At 34.5% G+C, this 17,542-nt stretch overlaps 1 protein-coding gene across 10 annotated transcripts in view; it reads right to left on the bottom strand.

The window, feature by feature from the left end:
- The window catches only part of PPP4R4 (protein phosphatase 4 regulatory subunit 4), a 105,413-nt gene that overhangs the window by 18,363 nt on the left and 69,508 nt on the right, over positions 1 to 17,542 (bottom strand). For 9 of the 10 annotated variants that reach the window (NM_001348144.2, NM_001348143.2, NM_058237.2 and 6 more), the window contains 8 exons: positions 16,660 to 16,737; positions 15,702 to 15,785; positions 14,833 to 15,015; positions 11,095 to 11,200; positions 9,476 to 9,623; positions 4,768 to 4,912; positions 2,548 to 2,589; positions 2,003 to 2,077 (listed from right to left, as the gene is read on the bottom strand). In NM_001348144.2, coding sequence (NP_001335073.1) covers positions 2,003 to 2,077; positions 2,548 to 2,589; positions 4,768 to 4,912; positions 9,476 to 9,623; positions 11,095 to 11,200; positions 14,833 to 15,015; positions 15,702 to 15,785; positions 16,660 to 16,737 — 861 coding nt within the window. Of the gene's footprint in view, positions 1 to 2,002; positions 2,078 to 2,547; positions 2,616 to 4,767; positions 4,913 to 9,475; positions 9,624 to 11,094; positions 11,201 to 14,832; positions 15,016 to 15,701; positions 15,786 to 16,659; positions 16,738 to 17,542 lie in introns of all 10 variants that reach the window. The other variant, NR_145441.2, reaches the window with a different exon arrangement.

Here is a 17,542-nt window from a genome sequence, read left to right as displayed (position 1 = left end):
AAACTGGAAAGTGAAATAAAAAAATGTATACTTCCATTTATAATAATGCCAAAAACATAAAATACGTAGAAATAAATTCCAGACTTCATATCAAAATGCAAAGGCCCTAGACTGGCCAAAGCAATTTTAAGAGGGAACAAAGATGGAAAACGTATCCTACCAAATTTCAAGAACGCTATAAAGTTACAGTGATCAAGACAGTTTGGTATTGCTTAAAAGATAAACTTATAAATAAGTGGAACAGAATAATAGGAAGTCAAGAAATAGACACATATGTGTACAACTATTTCTTAAGGACGCTAAGACAATTCAATGGGGAAAAGAAGGCTTTTTAACAAATGGTGCTGGAATAAATGAATATTCCCTATGGAAAAAAATAAACATATATTATATAAAAATGTACTTGAAATGGATCATAAACCTAAATATAAAACCTAAAATGAAAATTTTTAAAAGAAAATAGAGGAAAAAATCTATGATCTTGGGACAGACAAAGGATTCTTGGAACAAAAAAGAATTATCAAAGAAAGAATTGATAAACTGGGCTTCATCAAAATCAAATATTTCTGTTGTTCAAAAGACACCATTAATAAATGAACAGATAAGCCTCAGACTCCAAGAAAAAATTCATAATATGTATATCTGTGAAAGAAATTGTATTCAGAATGAATTAAAAGCTCTTACCTCTCAACAATAATAAACAACCCACTTAAAATTCTGAAAACAAACTTTATCAAATAAGAGATAAAGATGGCCAGTAAGCAAAGACAAGATGCTTGACATCTTTAGGCATCAGGAATAGAAAAAGAGATTAAAAAAAAAATGAGATACCATTACATACCCAATAGTATGGCTGGTAACTAAAGCTTTCCAGCATAGACAATGTAGATGTAAAATGGTACAACCACTTGAAAGCAGGTTTTTTTGTTTTGTTTTGTTTTTTGGGGGGACAGAGTCTCACTCTGTCACCCAGGCTGGTGTGCAGTGGCACAACCACGGTTCACTGCAAGCTCTGCCTCCCGGGTTCACGCCATTCTCTTGCCTCGGCCTCCTGAGTAGCTGGGACTACAGGAACCCGCCACCATGCCCAGCTAATTTTTTGTATTTTTTAGTAGAGATGGGGTTTCACCATGTTAGCCGGGATGGTCTTGATCTCCTGACCTCGTGATCCGTCTGCCTCGGCCTCCCAAAAGTGCTAGGATTACAGGCATGAGCTACCACACCCGGCCATTTTTTTAAATTTAGTTTTATTTTATTTTTAAGTTAAGCATGCCATACAAATCAGCCATTCTATTCCTAGGTATTTACCCAAGAGAAATGAAAACAGGTCTACTCAAGGACTTCTTCACTAATGTTCAAAGCAACTATATTTGTAATATCCCCAAATTAGAAGTAAGCCAAATGTCCATAAAGAGGTGAATGGATAAGCAAATTGTGATATATCCGAAATATAGACTACTACTCAGAAATAAAAAGGAATGGCTTCTTGATGCATACGATAATATGGATGAATCTCAAAGTAATTATGTTGGTAGAAAGATGCAGGACCAAAAATAGTATTAATACCTAATATATGATTCCATTTATATAAATTATGGAAATGCAAGCTAATCTACAGTGACAGAAACTATATCATTGGTTGTTGGGGACTAGAGTAGAAGACATGGATTACAAAGGGGCAGAAATCTTTAAAGGAATAGAAATGTTTCATATTTTCATTGTGGTGATGGTTTCATCGATATGTCAAAATTCATTAAATAGTACACTTTAAATATATGTAGTTGTCAATTATACTTCAGCAAAGTAGTTTTTTTAAAAGGCTCTCAAATATAGTTTTCTATCTAGTTCATAAAAGAACAGATTTCAAAAAACTGGACTATCATTTAAGAAGAAAAAAGAGTAATGTGAAATGGTGAAATGGAAAGAAATGATTAAGTTTAATAAAAAAACACAGTTATTAATCAGAAAAGAGTATATGTGTGTGCATGTGAAAACAACATACCATTTCCAAAAGAAGTAGTTCTTCTCTTTCTTTCTCTTGATCCAACAAATCTTTCTCATAAAACTTTTTCTGAAACTGTTTAAAGTTTAAAATGAAATTGTGAAACATTAGTGATGAGTTTCTGCCAAGTTTAAAATATTCCTTTCAATATAAATGATATGGTTTGACTCTGTGTCCCCATCCAAATTTCATCTTGTAGCTCCCCTAATTCCCACATGTTGTGGGAGGGACCGGGTGGGAGATGACTGAATTATGGGGGTGGGTCTTTCCTATGCTCTTCTCATGATAGTGAATGAGTCTCTCGAGATCTGATGGTATTGTAAGGGGGAGTTTCCCTGCACAAGCTCTCTCTTTGCCTGCCGCCATCCATGTAAGATGTGACTTGCTCCTCCTTGCCTTCTGTCACGATTGTGAGGCCTCCCCAGCCACGTGGAACTGTGAGTTCAATTAAACCTCTTTCTTTTGTAAATTGCCCAGTCTTGGGTATGTCTTTTTCAGCAGCATGAAAATGGACCAACACAATAAGGTAAAGAGAGTATACTTACAGCATCCATAGACATTTCCATTCTGTCCAACTCTAATACAGTCTATAAGGAAAGTTTTTAAAATTATTCTAAAGTAATTAAATTAAAACAACCAATCATTTCTCAGCAACTTATTTTGCAAATGGAGGTTCAAATAGAAGACTTCTGCACTAGGGGGAAGACTAAGTCAGAAAACTAAAGTTCTGCCCAATTCTACATTGTACTTACAATCAATCTTTATACAATCATGCCAGGGTCAATTTTAACTTTTGAAAGTTTTTAACCTTAAGAAGACCAAGTCTACAGGCATATTTCAAATACCAAATGCATATAATCTAACTAATTTCTAGTAACTCCCAGTGCCAATCTTTTCTGAATTTTCAGAAACATAATGTAGCTTTTGAAGTTTTAAAAAGTCTTTTAGCTATATATGAATGAGACAAGCCATCATGGGGCCTAATAATCCTTAGTTCCCTTCTGTAGAAATTTTATATCTGCTCTGAAAATATTCTCTCAATTTACTATTTGTCTTTTGGAATACACTAGTTTGAAACAAATTATCCCAATCAAAACAATGGTCAATCTAACCCAGGGTTCTGTCTCTGATAGAGGGCAGTACTTCTAAAACTTATTCTACAAGAGTAACCCTAATGGCCAAAATAAAGTACATTTGGATATGCATATGCCCAAAGCTATCCATGACAAACATAAAATTTAGTGGAAGCTTTTTCTGCTGAAATTTATGAAAAATTCATAATGCATGCCATGAAAGACTCTCTTTTTAAATAAAGTTACTTCTCATATTATAAAACTGATGAAACTATTCAATTTTTATCCAAAAGTTTTGTGTAGCTTCCTGGGAGTTTTCCATACTAATGTCTCATTATACTACAGAATTTCCATGTGACAGACTGGCTTCACTATATGCAGCATACTGAAAATAAGAGCTGTACTCCAGAATAATCCACTATAGACTAATAATCCATTAATTTTATTACATCACTGTTACACCTGTATAGCATTAGCTTATATTGTCTCTTGAATTAATAAATTATTCTGGAAAAGTAATTAACCATCTCATGTTTATTATTTTGACAAGTTAACTCCATTGCCTAAACTTCTATACTTAAATATTAAATAGTAAGGAAGGAACTGTCTGGTAGAAACAAGTGTGTGTGTGTGTGTGTGTGTGTGTGTGTGTGTAGATTTAAATGCATGTGCAACTCTACGTATTTCTGGTTATACCAGTTAATGAAAGAAGAATTCACATTTCATTAAAACTAAAACTATACTAATTCATACTAAGTCATCAAATCACTTAATTAAAAGATTCTTCATGTGACATCTGGCAATGATTTCTAGAAAAAAAGAGAAAAAATAAGAATTCTCTCTTTTCTCACCATGTATGCTAATTTATTTATGACACTAATAAGGAAATTTCCCTCACTATAAATAAATGCTCAAAAACAATGTGTCCTGAAGTTTATATTCAGATTCATAAAAGTAAATAATTTCACTTCAACTTATAAAAATATTAGTTATATATTCAGCATAAACAATTTTTGAAGAGTAAAAATTATTCTAAGATGTGGCTCACTAACCCAAATTTTTACTGTTTAGTTTTTCCAACATCTCCAAAGAATCCATATACTAAGATCTCATGCTAAAACAAACAAAAAACTCATAGGATACAATGTTACATTATTTACAAAGAAATGCACTCAGGAGCAGGTAAGAGGTCTCTATTCTAGTCCTCCTGATTCTGCTACTTACTAATATGATCTCAAGTAGACACAATATTTCTAGGCATATAACTTCTATAAAGTCAAACAGACCCCTGAATTAACTCAAAGGGCCCTTCCAGGGATAAGTTTCTATAAAATGTGACTTTGCCAATTTTACCAACAAAGTTTCACTGGATTATAATCACTTATAAAGAAAGTCTGATGAATAAAACATTCATTATTAATTGAACAGTGTTTATTGAGCACCTAACATGTGTCAAACTCTCTCAACATGGGCTTATATTACTAGTAATACAGGTTTAATGTCTAGGTGCCCTTCGAAAGTTTCATATCCAGTTGTAGCACATATCAACCAAATCATTTACTAATTCTTACAATTTTAGCAAGGATAAAAATATTGTAATATATTGCTATCCTGTCAAGCTGAAATAGTGAAGCTAAGATTCTTACTGCCTTAATGCAAAAAATGCAACATTGTGGCAAGAGTGATACTTACTCTTTTTACAATAGCCAGAACATCTTTATCTTTTTCTTGACACAGGAGTTTCCTCACACACATTTCTAACTGCTGAAGTAGATGCTTATCAGCAGGAATCTTCAGAGTAGATTTCACTTTGGGCAACAGGTAGCAAAGTTTCATTCTACAATAAAATAGTATTTACTCTTGAGTGAAGTTAATAACTAAGAATAACAGAAACATAAAACAAAAATCAAGTTTTAGATAGCCTGAGAGTTCATTTATTCATGCAAGATATATTCATGGAGTGTCTATTATGTGTCAAACATTCATCATTCTGGATGCTGAGATACAACAGTAAATAAAACCAACAAAATTCTCTGCTCTCCTGGAACTTACATTCTAGTATGGGAGCAGAGAAGAGAAAAGAAACAAGTAAAATCTGTCAGATAGTGTTAAATGCTATGGAGAAAAATAAAGTGAAGAATAAAGACAAGGGAGTACCAGGGGCAGGGGATTAATCAGTTTTAAAGCAGGTGGCCAAAGAGGGTTGTCATTGAAGGTTCCACTGAAAAGATGATATTTAAGCAAAGACCTAAAGAAAATTAGGGAATGAGCTATGTGAATATCTGGAAAAGAGCATCACAGCAAATATAGAGAGCTTGTCTCTACTGTTGGTCCAAATGAGCAAATTGGCCACTATGCCTAAACAGAGTGAAGGTGAGACTAGCAGGAGAGCTCAGAGTGGTAAATAAGAGGCTTTGAGGGCTACTGTAAGGAAATTGTCTTTTATTTTGAGTATGACAAGAAGCCATTGGTAGGTTTTCAGCAGAGGGGTGAAATGATCTGACAATGTTTTACAAGCATCATCTGTCTACTGTGTTGAAATTAGACTGCAGCTAGTCAAGAACAGAAAAAGAGAAACAATAGGAAAAGCTCTTACAATAATTCAGGCAAGAGATGATGGTACATTGAACCAGAGTGGTAGCAGTAAAAGGTGGTGAGAAGTAGTTGGATTCTGAATACCATTTTTTTTTTTTTTTGAGACAGAGTCTTGCTCTGTCGCCCAGGCTGGAATGCAGTGGTGTGATCTCGGCTCACTGCAGGCTCCGCCTCCCAGGTTCATGCCATTCTCCTGCCTCAGCCTCCCGAGTAGCTGGGACTACAGGTGCCCGCCACCATGCCTGGCTAATTTCTTTTTGTATTTTTAGTAGAGACAGGGTTTCACCATGTTATACAGGATGGTCTCGATCTCCTGAACTTGTGATCCGCCTGCCTTGGCCTCCCAAAGTGCTGGGATTACAGGCAGGAGCCACCGCGCCCAGTCCGGATTCTGAATATCTTTTACCAGCAGCAGGATGTGCTGAGGGATTGGAGGTAGAATGACAGAGAGAAGAATTTATTTAAGGTTTTCATCTAAGCAGATGTGATGGTTATTTCCTGAGATGGAGAAGACTACAGAAGGAGCAAAAGCAGATAAGAAAGATGAAGATTTAATTCTGGACAGATTAAGTCTGAGATTTCTATCAGATATGCAATGGAAATGCAAGTGGGCAACAGGCTCAATAAGTTGGCTGTCCAGGGTAGATGTCAATGCTGGAGATAGAGTGAGGAATCTTCAGCAAGGAGATGATATTTAAACCATGAAATGGGAGAGATCACCAAAGTAATGTGTACAGTTAGAGAAGAAAAGGATAAAAGGACCTAGTCTAAGGTGGTCTAAGGCACTACCACAGTCTAGACTGGGTTGGAAAGGAAGAAACAAGGAGGTTGAAGAATGCCAGGAAGTTAAGAGTAAATCCCAGAGCCTAAAAAAAAGCCTTTCCAGGAGGAGGCATTTCAGAGGAAATACTCTCCTTTGCTAAGCTAAAAGTCTACTCTTTTTCCATGGCTGTTTTAGAGAGGGATGCTAGGTGGGTATCTATTTTATAGCTGCTATATTCATTTATTCATCTGAATGCTCTACAAATTATTATTTTTTATTTTTATTGCAACCTTGAGACACCTGAATCCCATTTTTAGAGTTTCCAGAACACTTTCTCAGCTGAATTTTTACTTGAGGATTCTTCATATACAACAAAATTTGCTTTTGATTTAACCAAAAAGGGTAAAGAAGCTCCTCCTGTAGAATTTCCAGCATTGTAAATAGCAACAATGGTCTCAATCTCATTCACAGCTCACCACGGATACAGCTAAACCTAGTAATGCTTTCTCTAATTAAGGAGTATCAATCCCCCCAAATAAATTATTTCATTTCTGGCAGCTGTGGAAAAGGCTTCTCTGAATACCAAGAGTCTTTTTCCAGCTTGACATTGTCTAAACTTGGTGAATTTAAATTTTAAACATTAACTTAAGGAAAAACAAAAACACTTAACAATCTATGCACACTCCATTCTTTATAACCCAAGGCATGTCTAGAAAACAGATATTCAGCAGAAGCTACCCAAGCCATCGTAATGATTCATCTCTATGAGACTCCTGGGCCCATGAGATGATCAAATTCTTGAGATTAGGGACCACACCTTTCAGATAATTTATGTATATTATCTCAGTTATTTGTACCTCAGAATACTTTATAAATTAGGTACTAAGGAAATCAATGCACACAGAAGTTTTGTAACTTGGCTAAAGATACACATTTAATATAGAGCTGGAATTTCAGCTCAGGGAGTGTGGCTCCGGAAACTGTCCTCCTAACCAACATGATCCTACCACCCTTGCCTGTGATGGCTTTCATTCTATCTGCACATCCCTAAAGCACTGAGCAAGGGCTTTTATACCCAAAGCCAGTTAGCATACAGTGTTGCTGGACACATATCTTGGCTGGCAGCTGGCCAGGCAAGAGAGTAGGAACCAAGACACACAGTTATACAATAATCTGCTGCCCTGCAGATCTCTGAAATTAATAGAGTAATATTTAATTACTCTTCATTTGGTTTTTTGAATTGGCAGATTTCTTTCTCAAAGAGTCAATGTTATGCTCTTAGTTACACTGATCAAAGTAGAGATGATTTCGTTTCCTTTCAAATTATTTTTGTCAACTGCCTGATAAGTGACAATACATCACATTGAAAGTTGCTTTTATAGAATCACAATTTTAATTCACAAAATGTTCATAAAGATGGACCCATTAGTTGTTTAGGAAGAGCTAAAATCTAAAGAATTACCAAAGGTTCCTTTTTTTGAGACGAAGTCTTGCTCTGTCACCTAGGCTGGAGTGCAGTGGTGTGATCTCGGTTCACTGCAACCTCCACCTCCCAGGTTCATACGATTCTCCTGCCTCAGCCTCCCAAGTAGCTGGGACTGCAGGCATGTGCCACCACGACCGGCTCATTTTTGTATTTTTAGTAGAGATGGGGTTTCACCATGTTGGCCAGGCTGGTCTCAAACTCCTGGCCTCAAGTGATCCTGTCTGCCTCGGCCTCCCAAAGTGCTGGGATTTACAGGCATGAGCCATGACGCCCAGCCCAAAAGGTTCTTTTCAATTCACTTTAAATGTCAGCAATACCCCACCTCTCATTTATAAAGCACAAGAAATATGCAACAAAAACTAAAGTCAATGCAGTTGTGCTTTCTGTATTTTCTCACATTTAAAATACAAAAGAAAAACTTCTAGATTTGTTCCCATTAAAAAATGCTCATAAAAGTCTTAAGTTGAACTTTTCGGTATCTTTTGACAATTCATCTTCATATATATCTCAACACCAAGACTATTAATCTCAGTTAGCTTATTATCTCACCAACTCTTCCTATTAAAAAGTTTTGATGTTTTACATATTGCCTAAAATTCACATCAGTTGTTTATAAAAGTGGTACATATGCATCTTTCAGATGCATAAGACTAAGTGCCCCAATGTATGAAAATTCAGCAGGGAGTTCTAGAGTTTGTTCAGGAATGCCTTTGGCCAACTGACTCTGATGTCTCTCTTTCCTGCAGATCTGAGTTCAAGTTCAAAATAGAGACACAGGACTTAGAACACAGAAATCTAATGGCTGAGGGTTTAACATTCTTTTCATTCTATTATCAAATGTACAAAAATAGCTCTTAATAATGTGCATGTACTTTAATGCCACTCAACTATACACTTATAAATGGTTAAAATAGTAAATTTTATATTATACATATTTTACCACAGTAAAAAAAAAGGAAGTGATGTGCTCTTTTGGAGAGAAAAAGGACAAAATATATTTATTATTTTTTTCCATTTCCAGGCAAGCCATTTTCAGGTCTGTTCCTTCCAACTTAACAGTTAATCAAATGCAATTAACATTTTACTGGATTTCAATAATATAAGGCAAAACATAGAAGACAAGATGAAGACTTTGAAGCAGTTCTACTTCTTTGAATAAATGGGCCTCTAGAAACTAACGGATGCTCACCAAACAACTTTGAAGTGATAAGGCTACTGACCGTCTTTTCTTTAGTTTTAATGGTAGATAAATTAATAACATCTACTCAACCTTCTAATCATTTCAATGTGTATATCCAAATGGCCGAAGAAGCTTACCAATCTGGCTTTGACTAACTGCTCTCAACCCAGTAAAGACAAAAGATCTGAGACAGTGTTGAAAGAGTATGCTTCCAAGTCTTACTGATGCCCATCAATTATGAATACTAAGAATTTCAAAGCACGTGTAAATTCTTGACTTAAGTTTTTAATTGGCTAAGGAAAAGATTTTGCATATGTTCACTATAGTAGATAAAAATAAATACAATTTCCAATATTTTCCTTCATTGATAACATACCTCACATTTGCTACTGGATCATGTGTCAGTTCAATAGCAGGTAGAAAGAAATATTTACAGAAAAATGATTTTGAAAATATCTCTATAATAAATTCACAGGTATCCAAAAATCGAAGTCTATTCCAGTAACTTTTTCCTTGGCCCAATTCTAGAAACAACAACAAAAATTATCTTAAGTTAATTTTTCCTATATGAAATTAAAGTGACAAAGTTAGACACACAAAATGCATAAGAAGTTTCTTCATACCCACAATTTGGCTAGCAAATACAAGACATAAGAGGAAAAATATCATTATTATATACCTCAGGTTTGTAAATCCCCAAAATGACACCTCAAAAACCATAAAACAGTTTTGTCAAACATTTCATTCAATTTCATAAGCATTTATTAACTATGGAATGACTGTATTTACTACTTTTTATCACCCACTATGTGCTAAGTACTTTACACATATTATCTCATTTAGCCCTGAAAAGCAGCCCAAGGGATGCACATACTTCTTCCTCTTAAAAGATAAGGATACTAAGATTTAGTGAGTTTAAAGTCACACAGCTGGCAGGTGCAGAGCTAGAATTCAAACACAGCTCTGTATAACTTCTAAGTGTTTTAATAATCAAATTAACTGTTTTCTTCCCTTTGTTTCCTTAAAAATGCCTAAAGTAGATACAGTCATATATAAACAGCATTACTGACAATAATTCAGGTCAATATTTAAAAGGTTAATTTTCTACTTTTTACATAAATGTTCAAAAATAAAACCAAACTGAATCTTCTTTCAAAATAAAACATTCTAAACATGAGCTCTTGCCACTGAAAAATGAAAACCGAATTAAAATAAGACTATAAAAAGAAAGATTAAAGTATACTGAGCATATTTTTTCTTAAATGGAATTTTATAAAAGTACTCTAATTTTTTGAAAAGTAGTGATACACACTTAAACTGGTAAACTCCAATAACTAGAAAATCCCATTACCTGCCTATGCTGGATAATATAGTTTGGTAAAAATATTAAGACATTATGGGCAAAGCAAATATACAATAATTAACAAACTCACTAAGTATATATAGGTGTGTGCAACTATTTCTAGAATCAATACTATAAACCAAATGTTTTTGCCTTGATTTTAGCTCTTAACAAATTAAAATAAATTTGCATTTGTAAACTGACTTAGTTTCTTAAGACATTATAAACCAACTAGGCTCATCAAATTAATATTCAAATATACTATCAACTCTATTCAAAGAAAAATCCCAGATTCTGTTAATTATGTGAATATTGAAATAGGACCATAAAATAAATGATTAGATGCATGGATATTCTATTTATATTTTAGTTCCAAATGCTATTTCATCAGGGGAGATACTGGGCTTTCAATATAAGTAAATATATTTTAATTTCTAAAGTGTAGACATTTACAAAAGAAAACAGAGTAATTATTACTTTCATTCATCACAGATCTAATCTTGCCATAAGGATTTCTAGAAAATAAAAATCATCTTATAAAACCCAATAGTAACCTAATTATTCACAGCAAAATGATACATAAGTTAGACATAACTAAAGCCAACTAGTTTGTTTACTTTCCTTTTTCAAAATAGTAGACAATGATTACTTACGTTCAATTAATTTTTGAATGACCTCATGTCTCTGTTCTTGTTTACGATTATAACGCAGAAAAATGCATAGAGTTCGTGAAGCCGCCTTTTGGACAGGTAAAACATTCTTGAAGAAGTAAGTAAGACAGACAGTTACACTAGGCTAATTCTAGTCTAGATAATTTGACCCCACCAAATCAATTTTAAGTTATTGACAAAACTAAAGTGTTCACTGCCTCTCAACTCACTGAACTTACATCCTTCTGGAAGTATCTTCATAATTTAATGTTAATCACTCAGGCAAATCAACCAATAATTATATTACAAAGTTAATTTGGCATAGTCATGTCCAAATCCTCCAGATTTGACTCTCATTTCCTTGCCATCTCATCTTACATGATCAAATACACCCCTGCCACCTATTCTTTTAGCTGTTCCCTGGACTTTGTCATTCATTCATCTGACAAACATTTGCTATAACATGCCATGTGTCAGGTACATCACCAAAAATATGCCACTACTGAAATATTAATTTAGAGATCCTGTGATCAGGTATACTCTTCAATCCTTCTGGCTTAATTCTAGCTCTTCATGATACAGATGACATTTAGAATCCAAAGGACACCATGTCAATCATTCTTACCAGTATTTCAAGTCCCTTTGTCCTTTCAATTTCTGTCACACCACTAGGCAGAACCTTAATTCTAAATAAATATGGCCATTTATCTTTCCTGGGTTTGGGTTCAAACCATATATTAGAGAAAAATCTCTCAACCAGACGTATTGTGTCCAGTATAAATTCATGTTCATTATCTTGATTTACATACAAATATAATGTTGAATTACTAAAGATCCCAAATATTATAGTGGGGATCCTTGAAATTCAAATTGAAACTTTACATTGCTGAGACAGTGTTGCCTGCTACCTCCTCTCATATTTTATATGAGCTATTCACATTCTATCGGGTACAATTTGAGTGGGGTTTTTAATCTGTTGAATGTAAAAAGAGGGTATTTCCTATGATTTAGAAAAGAAAATTTAAAAAATATACATAAGCAGAAACATGATTAGACTTAAGGAAAATGAATTTTTGATAAATGGTGAACTAAACAAAAGCATATTATTCTTTTCTTTCATTTTATATATACTGATAGAATTTCAAATACATATATAACAGTCATATGAAAACATGTATATTTTGTACCTCATATAAAATATATATTATAGTTTATGGCATAAGGTATTCTTTTGGGCCAGAAGTCAAAGATAAATGTAATCAAGTCAAAAGCACATAAGAGCCAGCTTAAAGAAGTTGTAACAATTTGTGCACAAAAAATAATAACTGCAATAACATTTATCTAAAAGAGAGTCAACATTAAAAACAAAGTGCATTTGTCACCATTAAAAATAGCTACTACGCCACCTCCTAGCTCTGAAAATTGATAATTCAAGGGAAAAAATTAAGAATTCATCCTGTCTTTACATTAGTAAACGTAGCTCAAGGTAATCAAATAACCAATGTGGACAAAGGAATGCACTTCTTCACAGAATGCCACCATTAAAAATGCATAAATGATGGAATTTTAAAATTATTTTTCAAGTTATAATGAAATCACCAATTCAAGCAAGGATCATCAATGGATTCTACAACTAACAGGTAAAAGGCTGATAGGACACTGGGTAAACAGAGGGCTGAAATAGCAGCTGAAGATTGCGCTGGCTATTCAAGAGTAATTTTAAAATAATTTTTTTAATTCTGTGAAAAATGACATTGGTAGTTTGATAGGAATGTGTTGAATCTGTAGATTGCTTTGGGCAATATGGTCATTTTAACAATATTAATTCTTCTAATCCATGAGTAAGGAATGTTTTTCCATTTGTTTATGTCATCTATGATTTCTTTCAGCAGTGTTTTATAGCTCCCCTTGCAGAGCTCTTTCGCCTCCTTGGTTAGATGTGTTACTGGATATTTTTTTTGTGGCTATTAAAATTGGGATTGCATTCTTGATTTGGCTCTCAGCTTGAACATTATTGGTGTATAGAAATGCTACTGATTTTTGTACACTGGTTTTGCAACCTGAAACTTTACTGCAGTGGTTTATCAGGTCTAGGAGCCTTCTGACAAGATCCTTAGGGTTTTCTAGGTATAGAATCATATCATCAGCAAAGAGAGATCATTTGACTTCCTCTTTTCCTATTTGGATGCCTTCAATTTCTTTCTTTTGCCTGATTGCTCTGCCTAGGACTTCTAGTACTATGTTTAATAGGAGTGGTATGAGTGGGCATCCTTGTCTTGTTCCAATTCTCAAGGGGATGGCTTCCAGCTTTTGCCCAATCAGTTTGATGTTGGCAGTGGGTTTGTCATAGACAGCTATTATTATTTTGAGGTATGTTCCTTCAATGCCTAGTTTGCTGAGGGTTTTTAACACAAAGAGACACTGGACTTTATCAAAAGCCTTTTCTGCATCCATTGAGATGATCATGTAATTTTTGCTTTTAATCCTGTTTATGTGGCAAATAACATTTATTGATTTGCTTATGTTGAACTAACCTCACATTGCAGGAATGAAGCCCACTTGATTGTGGTGAATTAACTTTTTGATGTGCTACTGGATTTGGTTTGCTAGTATTTTCTTGAGGATTTTTATGTTGATGTTCGTCAGGAATACTGACTTGCAGTTTTCTTTTCTTGTGTCTTTTCCAGATTTTGGTATCAGGGTGATGGTGGCTTTGTAGAATGAGTTAAACAGGAACACTTCCTCCTCAATTTTTTGAATAGTTTCAGTAGGATTGATTCCAGCTCAGAGGAGCTTGCAAGGTATGTCTGCTGGTAGTCTGGCAGTGCAGTGGGTCAAAGATGGGAGATCCCTGGGCAGGGCAGTGGTACAACTGGTATACAACCAGGTAGGCACATGCAGCCCAGGGTTTTCAGCCCAGCAGATGAGTGTGGGGCCCACCCAGCTTGCACTACCCCAACTCAGCATCTGCCCCAGAGGCAGGCCTGACCAGTTGGGCTTGTCCCAAGCCTTCTGTGCCGAGATCACAGAGCCATGGAATGTTTCTATATTTCAAAAAATTGCAATAGGATGTCATGTTAAATGTACAGTGAATTATGAGTTAAATAATCCCCTTGGAAATTTCTGTGAAAAAAGTAGACAATTAACTTTGTGGGGAGGCTTGAGTGCCACCTTGTTTTGAGGGAGGAGTCTTTTTCTTTTAACACTAATTATAAGGTTATCAATAGCAGGGCATCCATGTATTTGTATAAGCTTTCTCTGTTCCATTGCCACACTCTAAAAGTAACCAAACTTATAGTAGGAAGCTTAAGGGGTGCCTTGGCAAAACAGCATAGCTGGGGTCAAACACTAAGGTTGTGGATGCATCAGAGGTGCACATCAGAACAGAAGAAGGTCCTTTGCAGTCAAGGTCACTGAGTCCTGTCAACCTTCCTCTTAAGAAGAACTATTTCAAGTTTGAAGTGAGTCTACTCTGTTCTTGGCAGTATATAAACAAAGGGTAGGTGAAAGTGCCACCTAGTCGTTCCTCTCTCCAGCTAGAGAGAAGATTCTCAGAGGGAGACCTAGTGGGGAGGCAAAGGGAAACCTGAGTCCCCTCTTCTGGACCTACGAAGCTGACATCCTCCTAGGTAGAATGGAATGAACTGAGTTTGTTCTACTATTTTGAAAATATGAAGAGTTTTGGTAATTCCAGAACCAACCATGAGTTCAAAAGAATAAGATGAAAGGTACTGAGCTCACATTTGTCATCATGATTGTGAACATTCTTTGTAAGAAACGGTAATAAATCTGATCGCTTGATATGACATGTGGCAGGCAGGCATATTTCTGAAGTAGCTTCTCATGAGTTCTCCATTTTAAAGAGGCTGCAGCTCGCTGTTCAGCAGCTGTGAGTGCTGGAATCAAGTCAGGCAGAGAAGATAACTGAAAATGAAACGCATCAAAAAATCAATTATAAATAAATTGCAGCACTCAGTAAAATTACTCAGTCTTATAACACATTGGGGAAGAGAATACTCCTTCTCATTTCAGAGTTTAGGAGACATCTTAGTTGTCACAAGGAGATAATTATCTGGTTAAATCAAACACTTTTAAAAGAAATCATTAAGTAAAAAGTATGATTCCTGGGAACCAAATTTTGAAATAAAAACTACAACTCATTCTTCTTCCTGTCAGATTATCATAGCAACTCTTCCAACTACAGTAAAATGTATTACATATTATTACTGTCAATAAGCTTTGACCTCCTAAATCCTACCCTTTTCTTAGGTTACACAGAGGCTTAAAAAATAATAATAAAGAATAAATTTCTACCCTTTTGTCCTATTTGCTATTCTTGGAATAATCATTAATGCTAATGAAAAATGAAAATATGAACATAAACTCCAAAGACAATAGACAACAATCATGGTAATTTAAAATTATTAATGTAAGAAAGATAGAGGAAATTCAAGCTGTTCAAACTCTAATAGGCTTTTACTGACCACCTGCTATGTGGCATGCACTATTTTACAAGTTTTCCAAACATTCTTTCATTGATGCCTCAAAACACCCTGTAGAGTAGGATAATATTTACACAACTCAGAATGTTTCTGAAAGATGAAGTTTACCTTATTTTCTTGAACACTGCTTTCTCCACCAGTAGACATAAGTTCCAAGATTTCTGGAAGATGATCTATAAGAGCATCTAGTACCTTTTAACAGAGATATTGATTACTGTTATAGTGATTACTATGTTTTTGCTAGATTAATTCTACATGTCAATTTCTATATAGTAGTAGTGGTTTTTTTTTTTCCCCCAAATAACATTTTGAGGATTTGTATTTTCTTACTCTGCCATCTTCTTGCTGAAAAGTCTTAGAAACATGATCAACTGCCTTGGCCAACCTTCAAAAAGAGATTAGTGTACCTGCCTCTTGACATTGTCCAAATAGTCTAAATCTGAGACAGCTACTTCTACAAAACTAACATGTTCAAAAACTGCCTCCAAACTTTCGAAACGTTGTTTAAATTGGATAATATTCTCAGTGATATCAAAATATTCATGAGCTGCGCTTTGGCAAACTAACAGTCATTTAGGTGAAAGGAATATCTAAATATAGCATCAAAATAAAGTATTTCAAAGTCTTCATAAGTACATATTAAGTGGTAAAATACTACACAATGGCAAGAGAAACAAGTTATAAAATGTGATATATGATTACAATTGAGTAAAATAAAAACCTTTATATAGAAAAGAATATTCATATAAAAAAGAAAAAGAAAACAAATAGTAACAGTAATTGAAATTAAAGGCATTCTTTTGTCTGTTTTTTGGCACTTCCTAAATTTTTCTTAATAAACAAATATACATATACTAAGTTTTAAAACTGAATATATTTTAAAACCTTATTTTTTAAACTATCTTCCCAATATCCTATTTATGATATAGTGGTACAACAATTTGAAGCTTCTGGGGCTAGTCAGCTGAAAGAGTTGACACGATTCCAAGAAGAAGGGGAGAAAAGGCATTGGTATATTTGGACCAAACATAAAAGAATTAAAAATCAAAGAGTAAGAAAATATTACCTCCAGTGATTCATCTTGTAATAATGTTATTAGTTCTTTATGTATTAAATATACTCCAGAATTCAGAAGCTTAGATACCTAAAATATAGCAATAAAGTCTCTCAGATTTGAGAGTACTAGACAGATACAGGTTACAATAATAATTTTTAAAAATACATCCTTGTTATATATTTCTTCTAAAATAAAGCCATGTTATAACACAAATATAAAATTAGATTCTATAAAAATTAGTGGCACAAATAACCAGCTTTCTAGTCTGCCTCGTGACATGCTGGAATGTGCAGACACACATGGGGTGAGGAAATACAAAAGAATGGGATTTACCAGAGTCATTACTTTCACATCAACAGCAATAACAAGCCCACAGGGGCCTCTAGTTCACATTTTAAAGTCTTAGAGGAGCCAACAGGGTCTTAAAGGATATCCTAGGCATACAAGTGTTCATACCAGTTCAGAACTTCCCAAAGGGTAACTTCTACTGAAGGCCTACAGTGATGTCGGGGTAGTTATAACTCCTAAGAAAGCAAACCAACTTTACTTTTCCCCATCAAAGACTTTAACCAGCATGAGAGGAGTTGGGAGAGTCCAGAATAATACAGTTCCCCTTGTAGACAGTAGTTTTTTTGTCTCCTCCTTATAAACTCGGAGCCCACAATGGTGAATTTACCAGTTTCTATTTCACCTTATTCTTTCTAAAACACACTGGGCTTGAATAAAGTTTTATTTGAAAAAAAAAATGGTCCCTGGATAAAGAAAGTGTTTTAAAATTCTTTGCTCTAACAGGGTTGTTTTTGACTTGTCAAAAATATTTCCAAAGTGTTATTATTCTGAAAAATGAGAACAAAGAATACAAAAGCAATTATCAGACTCTAGCATTGACACT

Source organism: Homo sapiens, chromosome 14, assembly GCF_000001405.40.
Source record: "Homo sapiens chromosome 14, GRCh38.p14 Primary Assembly".
Classification (NCBI taxonomy): Eukaryota; Metazoa; Chordata; class Mammalia; order Primates; family Hominidae; genus Homo; species Homo sapiens.
Note: the sequence above shows the minus strand (reverse complement) of the source record. Positions and strands in the feature narration are given on the sequence as shown.